The following is a 19,718-nucleotide window of genomic DNA, read 5'->3' on the forward strand; positions in this document are numbered from 1 at the left end:
CACCAGCAGTGTAAAAGCATTCCCTTTTCTCCACATCCATGCCAACATCTATTATTTTTTAATTTTTTGATTATGGCCATTCTTACAGGAGTAAGGTGATATCTCATTGTGGTTTTGATTTGTACTTCCCTGATAAAGAGTGATGTTAAGCATTTCCCATATACTTTTTGGTGATTTGTATATCTTCTTTTGAGAGTATCTATTCATGTCCTTATCCCAATTTTTGATGGGATTATTTGGGTTTTTTTGCTGACTTGTTTGAGTTCCTTGTAGATTCTGGTAATTAGTCCTTTTTTAATGCATAGTTTGTGAAAATTCTCTCCCACTCTGTGGGTTGTTTATTTTCTCTGCTTGTTATTTCTTTTGCTGTGCAGAAGCTTTTTAGTTTAATTAACTCCCATCTATTTATCTTTGTTGCATTTGTTTTTGGGTTCTTCGTCATAAACTCTTTGCCTAAGCCAATGTCTAGAAGAGTTTTTCTGATATCTTCTAGAAATTTTATGTTTTCAGGTCTTAGGTTTAAGTCTTTGATCCATCTTGAGTTGATTTTTGTATAAGGTGAGACATAAGGATCCAATTTTATTCTTCCACACGTGGCTTGCCAGTTATCTCAGCATCATTTGTTGAATAGGGGGGCCTTTTCCCAGTTTATGTTTTTTTTGTTTGTTTGTTTTGTTGTTGTTTTTTTTTTTTTTTTTTTGCTCTTTTGAAGATCAGTTGACTGCGAGTATTCAAATAGCATATCAAAAAAATTATCCACCATGATCAAGTGGGTTTCATACCAGAAATGCAGGCATGGTTTAACATATGCAAGTCAATAAATGTGATACACCACATAAACAGAATTAAAAACAAAAATCATATGATTACCTCAATAGAGCTGCATAAAAAGCATTTGACAAAATCCAGCATCGTTTTATGATTAAAACCTTCTGTAAAATCGGCATAGAAGGGACATACTTTAAGGTAATAAAGCCATCTATGATAAACTCATAGTCAACATTATACTTAGTGGGGAAAAGTTGAAAGTGACAGAAACAGAAACTCTTGTTCTCTTCCTTTAATTTCTCCCAAACAAACAGAGTCTCTCTCTATCTGCTGAGCTGCCTGAAGCTAGACATAAACACCTCTGTGGCCACTACCACTGAGACTGCACTGGGTCAGAACTGAAGCCAACACAGCACTTGGTCTCACCCAAAGCCCAGTGTAACCACTACCTGGCTACTGCTTCTGTTTGCTCAAGGCCCTAGGACTCTATAATCAGCAGGTAACAAAACCAACCAGGCTTGTCTTTTTCATCAGGTTAGTGAGTTTCCTCAGTCCCCGGGTGGGTCCACAGGTACTGTCTGGAAGCCAGGGACTGGAATCAAAGATCTTAGAAATCTGCCTGGTGTTCTATTGTATTGAGGCTAAGGTGTCACTCAAACCATGAGATAATATTTTTCCTACTCTTCCCTCCCTTTTCCCCAGGCAGAGGAGCCTTTCCTCGTGGCCACCACCACCAGAGACTCAAGAGAGGTACTACCAGGCTATCACAGATATTCACTTAAAGACCACAAGGGCTCTTCAGTCAGCCTGTGGTGAAGCCATCAGGCCTGCGACTCACCCTTCAGGGCAATGGGTTCCCCTTTGGCCCAGAACATGTTGAGAAATGCCACCCAAGAGCCAAGGCCTAGAATCAGGGAAGTCAATAGCCCTCTTTGTGCTCTACCCAATGTGGCCAAGCTGGTGCCTGAAGCCAGCATATCTCAGAGACTCACCCAAGGCCCATGACTAACTATGTAGGTATTGCTGCTGGTTCTTCAAGGCCCAAGGGCATTTTTGTCAGCAGGTGATTAATCCTGCCAGACTGGCTTCTTTCCTTAAGGTAGCAAGTTCTCATCTGGTCTAGGGTATGTCTAGATATGTTGTTCAGGAGCTAGGGCCTGGAATGGGGGACTCATGACTCTTCCCAGTGCCCTATCCTAATATGACTGACCTGGTAACCAAGATGCAAGACAAAGTCCCCCTTACTCTTCTTTCCCTCCTCCTCTCCTCAAGTAAAATAAAGGAGTCATTTTTGTTGCTGCAAGCTGTGCTGCCTGGGTTTGTCGAGGGAGAGGCACAAGCATTCCCTTAGTCACCCTGGCTGATGTCCCATATCCACTAGCTCTGAGCCCAGTATGCTGCTAGGACTTTTTAGAAATTGCAAGTCCTTGTAGCCTAGACTGCATTTCAAGCGTATTTAGGACCCCAGAGCCCCTTAGCCCTCATGGGCAAGGCTTCCCAAAACTCAAATTCAACCACTGGGATGGCTAACTCCCCTCTGGCTAAAGCTGGTCTAAACGATCCCCCCTCCATGTGTAGGCATCAGCTGAGTTTAGCCATGTTTTCCTTTCTGCTGTGACAGAGCAGCACTTCATTCACCACACTCTCCCTCACCCAAACACATAGATTCTCCTTGCCACATGGCCACTGTTGGGAGTATGGAAGAAGGGTGGCATCAGTAATTTAAGGCTGTTTTCCCTACCCTCTTCAGTGCCTCTTTTAGTGATATGAAGTTAAAACCAGGTATTGTGATACCTCACATAATTTTTCATTCTTGTGTATGTGCTTTTTTGTGTAGATGTTATATTGGTGTTCCTATGGGAGGGATGATCAATGAAGGCTTCTATTAGGCCATCTTGCTCTGTCCTCTCCATCTAGATATGTTTAGATACACAGATATTTAACATTGTGTTAAAATTGCATACACTATAAACTCCACTTAAAACTGATTAAAGTCTCATTCTTGTCAAATAAATAAATAAATAAATAAATAAAATTGCCTACACTGGTCAGTGCAGCAACATGCTATACAGGTTTGTGGCCTGGGAGCAATCGGCTATGTTATATAGCCTAAGTATGTGGTAGGCTGTACCATCTCAGTTTACGTAAAGTACACTCTATAATGTTTGCACAGCAATGAAATCACCTAACAATGTATTCCTTAAAGTGTATCCCTGTCATTAAGCAATACACAATTGTACACTTGTGTTTTTTGAAGACATCCCACTTTTGCTTTAGTAATATTTGCACATCTTTTCTGAAAGTTAAGTTGGCACTTATTATAATCCTCATTTTGTAAATGAAAAAAAAATGAGAGCCAGAGCATTTTTAGGTTTTGTCTATGGCCACATAGTTAGCAGGTTCTGAGAATCCAAGTGTTTTGACTCTTGGCTAAAAGTGCTTTCTGGCTCCAAACTTTATTTTTCAAATTTAGTAAAAACAAACTAGAAAGTAGTGAGATAAATGTGACATAATCATTCAAGAAGTCAGTGATGAAAGCCCTTAGGCTTTCAAAAAATAACAGAAAGAAATACACAGAGAGAAACCCCCTACAGAGCCAGTTCTTATTGAAATCCACAGAAGGAGCATTATCTCCATTCCCCCTACTCCCAATTTCAGACTCTTCCCTCTTCCTAGCCTGCAGACACACCAGTATGAAACACTCTTCTTCTTCTGCCAAAATTTGGAATGAAAGAGACTGTAGTTCCTCTCTAGGGCAAGACAACTCCAAAATGAGTGTGGTTATCTTGTTGTCTCTAAAAGCCAAGAGATATGCAAAGTGTGGGGTAATGTCAGAAGGACATACAAATTGACTTTTAGGGAAGCTTACTGGCCAAAAATAGGGGCCAAACATAACTATCTAAATAGTAATAACTTCAATGAATTGAAACACATCAAAACATTAAAAATACATGTGTTCATGATCTTTTAAAAATTCTCATCAAAGTTGGGGTTTTCACAGGAACTAACTCATTATTCTGAAAATTGGAAAATATCATGTATTTACTCTGCGTGGATTGTATTTCAGTGAAACCAGAAAGAGAATAATAAAAAGTTATTCTTTGTAGTATAAATACAGCTTATAAATGAAGTAAGATTGTTATATAATTTTTTTCCTAATGAAATAATAGCTGGAGGCATGGCTTACACCTGTAATTCCAGCCAGTTGGGAAGCAGAAGTGAAAGGATCACTTGAGACTATGAGTTTGAGACCAGCCTGGGCAAAAGAAAGACCCTACCTCAACAAAAATAGAAAGAAAATAAAGAAACAGTGGATCTAGGTATTAGTCATGAATGGCTGTTTAACCCTTCAGATGAAAGCTAATTGGGACCTTCATTTAAAAATGAATTCCACTTTCATCATTGAAATCTACTGTTACTAAAGGTAGGAAAAGAAAATATTTCATTTCTTTTGATATAATGCAATATGAAGCATACAGTACCATCTCTGCCTTGCTCTTGCTGGAGTAAAAAAATAATAATAATAAGCTTTTATCTTGCTAAGGCTTTAGATCCAACTGCCAGTTTTCAGGAAAAAATGAAGCTTAGAAAAACATGTTAAATGATAACCACAAAGAGTTAGCCAAATACAATGTGGGAAATTCTATATGACAAATGACCCAGATTTTTGAATAACTAACTGGCATTTGGAAGAAAACGATACAGAATACAGGGTCAGTTTTAGCTTGTTAAAAGTTAAAAAGACTTTAGGGGGATATTAAACAATAATGCATAAAATTTGTTTGGAACCTGATTTAAACAGATATTTCTGTGAAAATTAAGGAAAATTTAAAACAGACTTGTATTAAGTGATTTAAAGATATTTCTAAATGACCTTTATTGTATTGGTTTTGATAAGATATTGAAGTTGTGATTTAAAAAATATCTTTGTCTGTTACAGATATACACTAAGTGTTTGGTTAGATGGTGCATGGAGAAACACAGTATTAAAATGTATCCAACATTCCTCTGTTGCCAGTGTCACAGATGACCCCAATCTTTGCCATTATAAATAACATTTTAATATCTACATATACACCTACAGCATTTGTACTTTTTAAAATTACTCTCTTAGAAGGTATGCTCAGATGTGGGAACCACAGCAAAAGGTATAAAAATGTATTTATAAGTTTCTTTTTTTAATTTTTAATTTTATGGGTATATGGTAAGTATATATATGTATAGGATACATGATATAGTCATACAGTGTGTACTAATTACATCAGGGTAAATGGGTTATCCATTGGCTCAAGCATTTATCTTTTGTGTTACAAATAGTCAAATTATACTTTTTTTGTTACTTTTAAATGTACAGTACATTATTGTTGATTGTAGTCATCATGTTGTGCTATAAAATACTAGATCTTATTCATTATATCAAACTGTATTTTTGTACATATTAATCATCACCACATGCCCCCCACACAGACGCTACCCCTCCTAGCCTCTGCTGACCATCATTCTACTCTTTCTTTATCCATGAGTTCAATTGTTTTAATTTTTATCTCCTATGAGTAGGTGAGAACATGAAATGTTTATCTTTCTGTACCTGGCTTATTTTACTTAACATAATGTCCTCCAGTTCCATCCATGTTGTTGCAAATTACAGGATCTCATTATTTTCTATGGATTGATAATACTCCATTGTATATTTGTACCACATTTTCTTTATTTGGCAGTTGAACACTTAAGTTTATTTCATATCTTGACTATTATGAATATTGCTGAACATAAATATGGGAGTGCAGATATCTTTTTGATATACTGATTTCCTAACATTTGGATATATATCTAGTAGTAGGATTGCTGGATTATATGGGAGTTCAATTTTTAGTTTTTTTTAAAAATCTCCATATTTTTCTCCATAGTAGTTGCACAAATTTACATTTCCATCAACAGCGTATGAGGGTTGTCTTTTATCCACATCCTTGCCAGCATTCATTATTGCTCACCTTTTGGATAAAAACTATTTTAACTGGGGTGAGATGACACCTCATTATAGTTTTAATTTGCATTTTTCTGATGATCAATAATGTTGAGCACCTTTTCATATACTTGTTTGCCATTTTTATATCTTCTTTTGAGAAATAGCTATTCAGATCTTTTGCCCATTTCTAAAATCAGATTATTAGGTTTTTTTGTATCGAGTAGTTTGAGCTCCTTACATATTTTATAATTAATCCCTTGTCAGATGGATAGTTTGCAAATATTATCTCCAATCCTGTGAGTTGTCTCTTCACTTAATTGAATATTTCCTTTGCTGTGCAGAAGCATTGTAACTTGATATTAATCTTTTTATCTATTTTTGCTTTGGTTGGCTGTGCTTTTGAGGTATTACTCAAGAAATCTTTGCTCAGAACAGTGTCTTGGAGAATATTTCCAATGTTCGTTTTTAGTAGTTTTATATTTCCAGGTTTTAGATTTAATGAATTTTGATTTGATTTTTGCATATGGTGAGAAATAGGGGTCTAGTATCATTATTTTGCATATGAAAATTCAGTTTTTCTATCACCTTTTATTGAAGAGAATGTTCTTTCCCCAATGTATGTTCTTGGCACCTTTATAAAAAATGAGTTCACTATATATGTTATAGATTTATTTCTTAGTTCTCTATTCTGTTTTATTGGTCTATGTGCCTGTTTTTATTCCAGTACCATGATGTTTTGATTACTACAGCTGTATAATATTATTTGAAGTCAGGTAATGTGATACCTGAAGTTTTCTTTTTGTTGTTGTTTTTGTGGCTTTGGCTGTTTTGGGTCTTTCGTGATTCCATATATAACTTAGGATTTTTTTTTATTTCAATGAACACTGTCATTGGTATTTTATTGTATTTTTTATAATTACTTTATAAAGTTATATTTCAAATCAGATAAAGAGTTACAAACAAAAAGAAATTTGTGCTTTCTATTTACCTATATAGTTATGTTTACCAGTGTTCCTTATTTCTTCATGGGGTTTCAAGTTCAGTCTATTGACCTTTCATTTTAGCCCAAAAGACTTCCTTGAGTAGTTTTTGAAGAGCAAATTTGCTACTAATGAATTACCTCAGTTTTTGTGTTTATTTGAAAATGTCTTGATTTCTCCCTCGTTTTCAAAGAATACTTTTGCTGAGTGTAGAATTCTTGATTGATGGTTTTTTCTCTCAGCATTTTTAGTATGTCATGCCATTGCATTCTGACCACCATAGTTTTTTTTTTTTAATTTTTAATTTTTTATTTCCAGTTCTGTGCAGGATGTGCAGGTTTTTTACATAGGTAGACGTGTGCCATAGTGGTTTGCTGCACCTATCAACCCATCACCTAGGTATTAAGCCCAGCATGCATTAGCTATTTTTCCTAATACTCTCCCTCCCCTCATCGCATCTTCTGACAGGCACCAGTTTGTGATGATAGGGATTGCATAGACTTTATAAATTGCTTTGGGTAGTATGTACATTTTTACAATATTTATTCTACAATCCATGATCATGGAATATCTTTCCTTTCTGTGTGTATCCTCTTCAATTTCTTTCATCAATATTTATAGTTTTTATTATAGAGATCTTTCACATTTTTGGTTTATTTCGAGTTATTTTATTTCTTGAGGCTATTTTTTTTTTTTTTAGATTATTCATTGTTGGCATGTAGAAATGCTACTGATCGGCTGGGCGCAGCGGTCATGCCTATAATCCCAACACTTTGGGAGGCCGAGGAGGCAGATCACCTGAGGTCAGGAGTTTGAGACCAGCCTGACCAATGTGGTGAAACCCCGTCTATACTAGAAAAATACAAAATTAGCCGGGCATGGTGGTGCATGCCAGTAGTCCCAGCTACTTGGGAGGCTGAGGCACGAGAATCACTTGAATGTGGGAGGCAGAGGTTGCAGTGAACCAAGATCACACCACTGAACTCCAACTTGGGCAACAGAGTGAGACTCCATCTAAAAAAAAAAAAATGCTACTGATTGTTGTATATTGATTTTGTATCCTGAAACTTTACTAATCGTTTTTTGGTGGAGTCTTTAGGTTTTTCCAAAATTAAGATCATATCATCTGCAAACAGGATAATTTGAATTTTTTCTTTTGAATTTGGATACCCTTTGTTTCTTTCTCTTGTCTGATTTCTCTAGCTAGGACTTCCTGCACTATCTACGTTGAATAAGAGTGGTGAAAGTTAGCATCCTTGTCATGTTCCCAATCTTAGAGGAAAGACTTTCCATTTTTTCCCGCTAAGTATAATATTAGCTGAGTGCCTGACATATATGGCTTCTATTGTGTTGACATATGTTCATTCTATACCCAGTGTTTTAAGGGATTTTATTATAAGGGGATGTAGAATTTTATCAAATGCTATCTCAGTATCTATGGAAATAATCATATGGCTTTTGTCTTTCACTCTGTTGATACAATGTATCACATTGATTGATTTATGTATGTTGAACCACTCTTGCATTCCTGGAACAAATCCCACTTAGTCTTGATAAATAATGTTCACAATATGTTGCTGATATCAATTTGCTGGCATTTTGCTGAAGATTTTTATATCAATGTTCATTGCAGATAAATTGGCCTGTAGTTTTTTTGTTTGTTTTGATGTCTCTTAGTCTGGTTTTGGTATCAAGATAATACTGGCCTTGTGAAATGTGTTTGGAAGTATTTCTTTCTCCTCTATTTTTCACAATACTTTGAGTAATATTGATATTAGTTCTTCTTTAAATGTTTAGTAAAATGCATAAGTGAATCCATTAATTTGCAGACTTTGCTTAGAGAGTTTTTATTAAAGTTTTGATCTTATTACTTGTTATTTGTCTACTAAGGTTTTTGATTTCTTCATAGTTAAATCTTGATAGGTTTAATGCATCTAGTAATTTGGCTATTCTAGGTTTTCCAATTTATTGTCTTACAGTTGCTCATAGTAGTTATAGTAGCCTTTAATGATCCTTTGAATTTCTTCAGTATCCATTGTAATATCTTCTCTTTTGTTTGTGATTTTATGTATTTGGGTCATCTCTCTTTTTTTTAGAGTACTAAAGGCTTACTGATTTTGTTTTATCTTTTTAGAAAGTGAACTTTTTATTTAATTGATTTTTGTACATTTTTTCTTATAAATTTTATTTATGCTTTGATCTTTACTACCTTTTTTCTACTAATTTTTTATTTTGTTTCCTCTTGCTTTATAGATATTTAAGATTCATCTTTATTTGTTTAAAGATGGTCTACTTCTTTTGATGGAGACACTCATTGCTATAAACTTTCCTCTTATTGCTTTTGCTGTATCCCATAAGTTTGGTATGTTATTTCCATTTTCATTTGTTTCAATAAATTGTTAAATTTTCTTCATAATTTCTTTTCTTTTTTAAATTATATTTTAAGTTCTGGAGTACATGTGCAGGACATGCAGGTTTGTTACATAGGTATACACGTGCCATAGGGGTTTGCTGCACCCATCAATGTGTCATCTATATTAGGTATTTCTCCTAATGCTATCCCTCCCCTAGCCCCCCACCCCCCAACAGGCCCCGGTGGGTGATGTTCCCCTCCCTGTGTTGATGTTCTCATTGTTCAACTACCACTTATGAGGGAGAACATGCAGTGTTGGGTTTTCTGATCTTGTGTTAGTTTGCTGAGAATGATGGTTTCCAGCTTCACCCATGTCCCTGCAAAGGACATGAACTCCTCCTTTTTTATGGCTGCATAGTATTCCATGGTGTATATGTGCCAGAATTTCCTTATCCAGTCTATGATTGATGGGCATTTGGGTTGGTTCAATGTTTTTGCTATTGTGAACAGTGCCACAATAAACATACGTGTGCATGTGTCTTTATAGTAGAATGATTTATAATTCTTTGGTTATATACCCAGTAATGATATTGCTGGGTCAAATGGTATTTCTAGTTCTAGATCCTTGAGGAATTTCCATACTGTCTTCCACAACAGTTGTACCAATTTACACTTCCAACAGTGTAAAAGCTTTGCTGTTTCTCCACATCTTCTCTAGCATTTGTTGTTTCCTGATTTTTTAATGATCACCATTCTAACTGGAGAAAGATGGTATTCATTGTGGTTTTCATTTGCATTTCTCTAATGACCAGTGATGATGAGGTTTTTTTTATATGTTTGTTGGCTGCATAAATGTCTTATTTTGAGAAGTGTTTGTTCATGTCCTTCTCCCACTTTTCAATTGGGTTGATTTTTCTTGTAAATTTATTTAAGTTCTTTGTAGATTCTGGATATTAGCCCTTTGTCAGACGGATAGATTGCAAATATTTTCTCCGATTCTGTAGGTTGCCTGTTCACTCTGATGATAGTTTCTTTTGCTGTGCAGAAGCCCTTTAGTTTAATTAGATCCCATCTGTCAATTTTGGCTTTTGTTGCCATTGCTTTTGGCGTTTTAGTCACGAAGTATTTGCCCATGCCTATGTCCTGAATGGTATTGCCTAGGTTTTCTTCTAGGGTTTTTATGGTTTTAGATCTTACACTTAAGTCTTTAATCCATCTTGAGTTAATGTTTAGATAAGGTATAAGGAAGGAATCCATTTTCAGCTTTCTGCATATGGCTACCCAGTTTTCCCAAAACCACATATTAAATAGGGAATCCTGAGGAAGTCAAATTGTCCCTGTTTGCAGATGACATGATTGTATATCTAGAAAACCCCATTGTCTCAGCCCAAAATCTCCTTAAGCTGATAAGCAACTTCAGCAAAGTCTCAGGATACAAAATCAATGTACAAAAATCACAAGCATTCTTATGCACCAATAACAGACAAACAGAGAGCCAAATCATGAGTGAACTCCCATTCACAATTGCTTCAAAGAGAATAAAATACTTAGGAATCCAACTTACAAGGGACATGAAGGACCTCTTCAAGGAGAACTACAAACCACTGCTCAATGAAATAAAAGAGGATACAAACAAATGGAAGAACATTCCCTGCTCATGGGTAGGAAGAATCAATATCATGAAAATGGCCATACTGCCCCAGGTAATTTATAGATTCAATGCTATCCCCATCAAGCTACCAATGACTTTCTTCACAGAATTGGAAAAACCACTTTAAAGTTCATATGGAACCAAAAAAGAGCCTGCATTGCCAAATCAATCCTAAGCAAAAAGAACAAAGCTGGAGGCATCACGCTACCTGACTTCAAACTATACTACAAGACTACAGTAAACAAAACAGCATGGTACTGGTACCAAAACAGAGATATGGACCAATGGAACAGAACAGAGCCCTCAGAAATAATACCACACATCTACAACCATCTGATCTTTGACAAACCTGACAAAAACAAGAAATGAGGAAAGGATTCCCTATTTGATAAATGGTGCTGGGAAAACTGGCGAGCCATATGTAGAAAGCTGAAACTGGATCCCTTCCTTATACCTGATACCAAAATTAATTCAAGATGGATTAAAGACTTAAATGTTAGACCTAAAACCATAAAAACCCTAGAAGAAAACCTAGGCAATACCATTCAGGACATAAGCATGGGCAAGGACTTCATGTCTAAAACACCAAAAAGCAATGGCAACAAAAGCCAAAATTGACAAATGGGATCTAATTAAAGAGCTTCTGCACAGCAAAAGAAACTACCATCAGAGTGAACAGGCAACCTACAAAATGGGAGAAAATTTTCGCAAACTACTCATTTGACAAAGGGCTAATATCCAGAATCTATAATGAACTCAAACAAATTTACAAGAAAAAAACAAACAACCCCATCACAAAGTGGGTGAAGGACATGAACAGACACTTCTCAAAAGAAGACATTTATGCAGCCAACAGACACATGAAAAAATGCTCACCAACACTAGCCATCAGAGAAATGCAAATCAAAACCACAATGAGATACCATCTCATACCAGTTAGAATGGCAATCATTAAAAAGTCAGGAAACAACAGGTGCTGGAGAGGATGTGGAGAAATAGGAACACTTTTACACTGTTGGTGGGACTGTAAACTAGTTCAACCATTGTGGAAGTCAGTGTGGCGATTCCTCAGGGATCTAGAACTAGAAATACCATTTGACCCAGCCATACCATTACTGGGTATATACCCAAAGGACTATAAATCATGCTGCTATAAAGACACATGCACATGTATGTTTATTGTGGCACTATTCACAATAGCAAAGACTTGGAACCAACCCAAATGTCCAACAATGATACTCTGGATTAAGAAAATGTGGCACATATACACCATGGAATACTATGCAGCCATAAAAAATGATGAGTTCATGTCCTTCGTAGGGACATGGATGAAGCTGGAAATCATCATTCTCAGTAAACTATCGCAGGGACAAAAAACCAAACACCGCATATTCTCACTCATAGGTGGGAATTGAACAATGAGAACACATGGACACAGGAAGGGGAACATCACACTCTGGGGACTGTTGTGGGGTGGGGGGAGTTGGGAGGGATAGCTTTAGGAGATATACCTAATGCTAAATGACGAGTTAATGGGTGCAGCACACCAGCATGGCACATGTATACATATGTAACTAACCTGCACATTGCGCACATGTACCCTAAAACTTAAAGTATAATAATAATAAAATAAAATAATAAAAAATTAAATAAATAAATAAATAAATAAATAGGGAATCCTTTCACCATTGCTTGTATTTGTCAGGTTTGTCGAAGATCGGATGGTTATAGATGTATGGTGTTATTTCTGAGGACTCTATTCTGTTCCATTGTTCTATATATCTGTTTTGGGACCAGTAGCAAGCTGTTTTTTTTTTCTACTGTAGCCCTGTAGTATTGTTTGAAGTCAGGTAGTGTGATGCCTCCAGCTTTATTCTTTTTGGTTAGGATTGTCTTGGATATGCAGGTTCTTTTTTCTTTCCATATGGAATTTAAAGTAGCTTCTTCCAATTCTGTTAAGAAAGTCAGTGGGAGCTTAATGGGAATAGCACTGAATCTATAAATTACTTTGAACAGCATGGGCATTTTCACAATATTAATTCTTCCTATCCATGAACATAGAATTTTTTCCATTTGTTTATTTCCTCTCTTATTTCCTTGAGCAGTGGCTTGTAGTTCTCCTTGAACAGGTCCTTCACATCCCTTGTAAGTTGTATTCCTAGGTATTTTATCCTGTTTGTAGTGATTGTGAATGAGAGTTCACTCATGATTTGGTTCTCTGTTTGTCTGTTATTGGTGTATAGGAATGCTTGTGATTTTTGCACATTGATTTTGTACCCTGAGACTTTGCTGAAGTTGCTTATCAGCTTAAGGAGATTTTGGGCTGAGACTATGGGGTTTTCTAAATATACAATCATGTCATTGGCAAACAGAGACAATTTGACTTCCTCTTTTCCAAATGTATACACTTTCTTTCTTTCTCGTGACTGACCTAGCGAGAACTTCCAATACTATGTTGAATAGGAGTGGTGAGAGAGGGCATCCCTGTCTTGTGCTGATTTTCAAAGGAAATGCTTCCAGTTTTTACCCATTCAGTATGATATTGGCTGTGGGTTTTTCATAAATAGCTCTTAATATTTTGAGATATGTTCCACCAATACCTAGTTTACTGAGAGTTTTTAGCATGAAAGGTTGTTGAATTTTATCGAAGGCCTTTACTGCATCTATTCAGATAATCATGTGTTTTTTCTCATTGGTTCTGTTTATGTGATGCATTATGTTTACTGATTTGTGTATGTTGAACCAGCCCTGCATCCCAGGGATGAAGCCAACTTGATCATCGTGGATAAGCTTTTTCATGTGCTGCTGGATTTGGTTTGCAGTATTTTATTGAGGATTTTCACATCCATGTTCATCAGAAATATTGGCCTGAAATTTTCTTTTTTTGTTGTGTCTCTGCCAGGTTTTTGTATGAGGATGATGCTGGGCTTCTAAAATGAGTTAGGGGGATTCCTTCTTTTTCAATTGTTTTGAATAGTTTCAGAAGGAATGGTACCGGTTCCTCTTTGTACATCTTGTAGAATTCAGCTGTGAATCTGTCTGGTCCCGGGGGCTTTTTTGGTTGGTAGGCTATTAATTACTGCCTCAATTTCAGAACCTGTTATTGGTCTACTCAGGGATTCGACTTCTTCCTGGTTTAGTCTTGGGAGAGTGTATGTTTTCAGGAAGTTATCCATTTCTTCTAGATTTCCTAGGTTATTTGCATAGAGGTGTTTGTAGTATTCTCTGATGGTAGTTGGTATTTCTGTAGGATTGGTGGTGATATCCCCTTTATCATTTTTTTATTGCATCTGTTTGATGCTTCTCTCTTTTCTTATTAGTCTGGCTAGCAGTCTATCTATTTTACTATCTTTTTAAAAAACTAGCTCCTAAATTCATTGATTCTTTTGAAGGGTTTTTCGTGTCTCTATCTCCTTCAGTTCTGCTCTGACCTTAGTTATTTCTTGTCTTCTGCTAGCTTTTGAAGTTATTTAGTCATTCAGGAGCAGGTTGTTCAGTTTCCATGTAATTTTGCAGTTTTGAGTTAGTTTCTTTATCCTGAGTTCTAATTTGATTGCATTGTGGTCTGAGAGACTGTGTGTTATGATTTCCATTCTTTTGCATTTGTTGAGGAGTGTTTCAATTGGAAGGACCACTTACAATTATGTGGTCAATTTTAGAATAAGTGCAATGAGGTGCTGAGAAGAATGTATATTCTGTTGATTTGGGGTGGAGAGTTCTGTAGATGTCTGTTAGGGCCACTTGGTCCAGAGCTGAGTTCAAGTCCTGAAAATCCTTGTTAATTACCTGTCTCGTTGATCTAATATTGAAAGTGGGGAGTTAAAGTCTCCCGCTATTATTGTGAGAGATTCCATGTCTCTTTGTAGGTCTCTAAGAACTTGTTTTATAAATCTGGGTTCTCCTGTATTGGGTTCATATATATTTAGGATTGTTAGTTCTTCTTGTTGAATTGATCCATTTACCATTATGTAATGCCCTTCTTTGTCTCTTTTTATCTTCATTGATTTAAAGCCTGTTTTATCAGAGACTAGCACTGCAACCCCTGCTTTTTTTTTTTTCTTTCCATTTGCTTGGTAAATATTCCCCCATCCCTTTATTTTGAACCTATGTGTGTCTTTGCATGTGAGACAGGTCTTCTGAATACAGCAAACCAATGGGTCTTGACTCTTTATCCAATTTGCCAGTCTGTGTCTTTTAATTGGGGCATTTAGCCTGTTTCCATTTAAGGTTAATATTGTTATGTGTGAATTTGATCCTGTAATTGTGATGCTAGCTGGTTGTTTTGCCCATTAGTTGATATAGTTTCTTCATAGCATTGATGATCTTTACAATTTGGTATGTTTTTGCAGTGGCTGGTTCTGGCTTTTCTTTTCCATTTTTAGTGCTTCCTTCAGGAGCTCTTGTAAGCCAGGCCTGGTGGTGACAAAATCTCTCAACATTTGTTGTCTGTAAAGGATTTTATTTCTCCTTCACTTATGAAGCTTAGTTTCACTGGATATAAAATTCTGGGTTGAAAATTCTCTTCCTTAAGAATGTTGAATATTGGCCCCCACTCTCTTCTGCCTTGTAAGGTTTCTGCTGAGAGATCTGCTGTTAGTCTGATGGGCTTCCCTTTGTGGGTAACCTGACCTTTCTCTGGCTGCCCTAGAAATTTTTTCATTCATTTCAACCTCAGTGAATCTGACAATTATGTGACTTGGGGTTGCTCTTCTCCAGGAGTACCTTTGTGGTGTTCTGTGTATTTCCTGAATTTGAATGTTGGCCTGTCTTGCTAGGTTGGGGAAGTTTTCCTGGATAATGTCCTGAAGTGTGTTTTCCAACTTGGTTCCATTTTCCTTGTCACTTTCAGGTACACCAATCAGGCGTAGATTGGGTCTTTTCACATAGTCCCATATTTTGTAGGCTTTGTTTCTTTTCACTCTTTTTTTTCTAATATTTTCTTCTCACTTTATTTCATTGAAATGATCTTCAATCTCTGATATACTTTCTTCCACTTGATCGATTCGGCTATTGATACTTGTGTATGCTTTGTGAAGTTCTTGTGCTGCGTTTTCCAGCTCCATCAGGTCATTTATGTTCCTCTCTAAACTGGTTATTGTAGTTAGCAATTCATCTAATCTTTTTTAAAGTTCTTAGCTTCCTTGCATTGGGTTAGAACATGCTCCTTTAGCTCGGAGGAGTTTGTTATTACCCACCTTCTGAAGCCTACTTCTGTCGATTCGTCAAATTCTTTCTCCGTCCAGTTTCATTCCCTTGCTGGTGAGGAGTTGTGATCCTTTAGAGGAGAAGAGGTGTTCTGGTTTTTCGAATTTTAAGCTTTTTTGCACTAGTTTCTCCCCATCTTCATGGATTTAGCTACCTTTGGTTTTTGTAGTCGGTGACCTTCTGATTGGGTCTCTGAGTGGAAGTCCTTTTGGTTGATGTTGACACTATTCCTTTCTGTTTGTTAGTTTTCCTGCTAACAGTCAGGATCCTCTGCTGCAGGTCTGCTGGAGTTTGCTGGAGGTTCACCCCAGACCCTGTTTTCCTGGGTATCACTGGCAGATGCTACAGTACAGCAAAGATTGCTGCCTGTTCCTTCCTCTGTTAGCTTTTTCCCAGAGGGGCACCTGCCAGATGCCAGCCAGGGCTCTCCTGTATGAGGTGTCTGTTGGACCCTACTGGGAAGTGTTTCCCAGTCAGGATAATTGTGGATCGGGGACCCACTTGAGGAGGCAGTCTGTCCCTTATCAGAGTTCAAACACTGTGCTAGAGATGTGCTTCTCCCTTCAGAGCTGCCAGGCAAGGACGGATAAGTCTGCTGAGGCTGCACCCACAGCCGCCCCTTCCCCCAGGTGTTCTGTCCCAGGGAGGTGGGGGTTTTATCTATAAGTCTCTGAGTGGGGTTGCTGCCTTTTTTTCAGAGATGCCCTGCCCAGAGGAAAGGGAATCTAGAGAGGCAGCCTGGTTTTGCTGAGCTGTGGTGGGCTCCACCCAGTTCGAACTTCCCAGTGGCTTTGTTTACACTGTAAGGGGAAAACAGCCTACTCAAGCCTCAGCAATGGTGGACGCCCCTCCCCCCACCAAGCTCCAACATCCCAGGTCAAGCTGGGACTGCTGTGCTGGCTGCAAGAATTTCAAGCCAGTGGATCTTAGCTTGCTGGGTTATGTTGGGGTGGGACCTGCTGAGCCAGACCACTTGGCTCCCTGGCTTTAGCCCCCTTTCCAGGGGAGTGAACAGTTCCATCTTGCTCACATTCCAGGCACCACTGGGGTATGAAAAACAAAACAAACAAACAAAACAAAACAAAACAAAACAACTCCTGTGGCTAGCTCGGTGTCTGCTCAAATGGACGTCCAGTTTTGTCCTGGAAACCAAGGGCTCTGGTGGCATATGCACCAGAGGGAATCTCCTGGTCTGCAGGTTGGAAAGACTGTGGTAGATGCACAGTATCTGGGCCAGAGTGCATGATACAGTCCCTAATGGCTTCCCTTGTCTAGGAGAGGGAGTTCCCCGACCCCTTGTACTTCCCAGGTGAGGAGACACCCCACCCTGCTTTGGCTCTCCCTCCTTGGGCTGCACCCACTGTCCAACCAGTCCCAGTGAGATGAACCAGGTACCTCAGTTGGAAATGCAGAAATCACTTGCTTTCTGCATCAATCTCACTGGGAGCTGCAGACTGGAGCTCTTCCTATTGAGCCATCTTACCAGCAATCCTTAATTTCTTAACTAACCCACTGGTCATTCAGAAGCAAATTGTTTAATTCTTACATGTTTATATAGTTTCCAAATTCCTCTTGTTATTGATTTCTAGTTTCATTGCATTTTAGTCAGAAAAGACACTTGATATAATTTCAATTTTTGATTTTTTAAAAAAACTGGTTTTGTAGCCTAACATATGTTCTATCCTTGAGAATATCCCATTTGCTGAGGAAAGGGATGTGTATTCTGCAGCTGTTGGATAAAATATCCTATAAATATCTGTTGTATCTATTTGGTCTATAGTGCATACTAAATTCAATGTTTCTTATTTAATTTATTCTCTGGATGATCTGTTCAATGCTGAAAGTGGAGTGTTGAAGTCTCCAGTTATTACTGTATTGGTGTCTATCTCTCCCTCCAACTCTAATAGTATTTGCTTTCTCTATCTGGGTGCTCCATCATTGGGTATGTATATATTAATAACTGTTATATTCTCTTGCAGTATTGACCCCTTTGTTATTATTATTATTATTATGTAATGGCCTTCTTTGTCTCTTTTTCTGGTTTTTGTCTTGAAAGCTATTTTATGTGCTATAAGTATAGCTATTCTTGATCTTTTTTGGTTTTCATTTGCATGAAATACCTTTTCTATTTCTTTATTTTCAGTCAACGTGTGTCTTTATAGGTAAACTGTTTCTTGTAAAAATCAGATAGTTGAGTGTTTTTTTCGTTTTATATTTAATTCATTAAATGTTTGTTTTTACCTTTTGACTTTTTATAGTTTCAACTTTCAGTTTAAATTCAGGTGAAACGTGCATGTTTGTTACAAAGGTATATTGCATAATGCTGAGGTTTGTTATACTAATGATTTTGTCACCTAGGTGACATAATAGTTAGCTTTTCAACCCTTGCCCCCTTCCCAGCTCCTTCCTCTAGCAGTCACCATTGTCTATTGTTGCCATCTTTATGTCTATGAGTAACTAATATTTAGCTCCCACTTGTAAGTGAGAACATGTGGTATTTGGTTGCCTGTTGCTATGTTAGTTTACCTAGGATAAAGGTCTCCAGCTGCAACCAAGTTGCTGCAAATGGCATGATTTTTTTTTCCCATGGCTATGTCATAGCCCGTGGTGAATATGTACCAAATTTTCATTATCTAATCCACTGTTAATAGGCACCAAGGTTGATTCCATGTCTGTCATTGTGTAGAGTGTTGTGAAGAACATAGAAATGCATGTTTGTTTCTTTTTGGTAAAATAATTTTTTTCTTTTGAATATATACCCAGTAATGAGACTGCTGGGTCAAACGGGCATTCTGTTTATTATTATTAGACAGTTCTGAGATACATATACAAAACATGCAGGTTTGTTATGTAGGTATACATGTGCCATAGTGGTTTGCTGCACCACTTAACCCGTCATCTACATTAGGTATTTCTCCTAATGCTATCCCTCCCCTAGCCTCCCCCCACCCCCTGACAAGCCACAGTGTGTGATGTCCCCCTCCCTGTGTTCATGTATTCTTATTGTTCAGCTCCCATTTATGAGTGAGAACATGTGGTGCTTGGTTTTTCTGTTCCTGTGTTAGTATGCTGAGAATGATGGCTTCCAGCTTCATTTGTGTCCCTGCAAAGGACATGAACTCTTCCTTTCTTATGACTACATAGTATTCCATGGTATATATGTGCCACATTTTCTTTATCCAGTCTATCATTGATGGGCATTTGGGTTGGTTCCAAGTCTTTGCTATTATGAACAGTGCTGCAATGTACATATATGTGTGTGTGTGTGTGTGCGCGCATGTGTTTTTATAGAATGATTTATAATTCTTTAGGTATATACCCAATAATGGGATTGCTGGGTCAAATCGTATTTCTGGTTCTAGATCCTTGAGGAATCGCCACACTGTCTTCCACAATAGTTGAACTAATTTACACTCCCACCAACAGTGTAAAAGCATTCCTATTTCTCCACATCCTCTCCAGCATATATTGCTTCCTTTTTAATGATCGCCATTCTGAGTGGCGTGAGACGGTATCTCATTGTGGTTTTGATTTGCATTTCTCTAATGACCAGTGGTAAGGAGCTTTTTTTTTTAAGTTTTTTGGCCACATAAATGTCTTCTTTTGAGAAGTGTCTGTTCATATCCTTTGCCCAATTTTTGATGGTTTTTTTTCTTGTAAATTTGTTTAAGTTCTTTGTAGATTCTGGATGTTAGCCCTTTGTCAGATGGATAGACTGCAAAATGTTTCTCCCATTCTCTAGGTTGCCTGTTCACCCTGATGGTAGTTTCTTCTGCTGGGCAGAAGCTCTTTAGT

The 19,718-nt window shown here is 37.4% G+C and overlaps 2 long non-coding RNA genes across 2 annotated transcripts in view, besides 1 other annotated feature; one reads left to right on the plus strand and one right to left on the minus strand.

Moving 5' to 3' along the window:
• The window catches only part of LINC01478 (long intergenic non-protein coding RNA 1478), a 208,263-nt gene that overhangs the window by 16,818 nt on the left and 171,727 nt on the right, over positions 1-19,718 (minus strand). The gene's annotated exons all lie outside the window — the stretch shown is intronic.
• Positions 873-2,072: an enhancer, noted in NCBI's record as "CDK7 strongly-dependent group 2 enhancer chr18:41921090-41922289 (GRCh37/hg19 assembly coordinates)". NCBI's record gives its function as "activates an origin of replication core promoter dependent on BRD2, BRD4, P300/CBP, MED14 and CDK7 cofactors, with strong dependence on CDK7, by STARR-seq in HCT116 cells {active_cell/tissue: HCT116}" and the evidence as "EXISTENCE:reporter gene assay evidence [ECO:0000049][PMID:35650434]".
• On the plus strand, positions 1,083-2,778 carry LOC124904291 (uncharacterized). Its single transcript, XR_007066348.1, has 2 exons — positions 1,083-1,267; positions 1,471-2,778. It is a non-coding gene; the product is annotated as an uncharacterized LOC124904291 (long non-coding RNA).

This window comes from Homo sapiens, chromosome 18 (genome assembly GCF_000001405.40).
Source record: "Homo sapiens chromosome 18, GRCh38.p14 Primary Assembly".
NCBI lineage: Eukaryota > Metazoa > Chordata > Mammalia > Primates > Hominidae > Homo > Homo sapiens.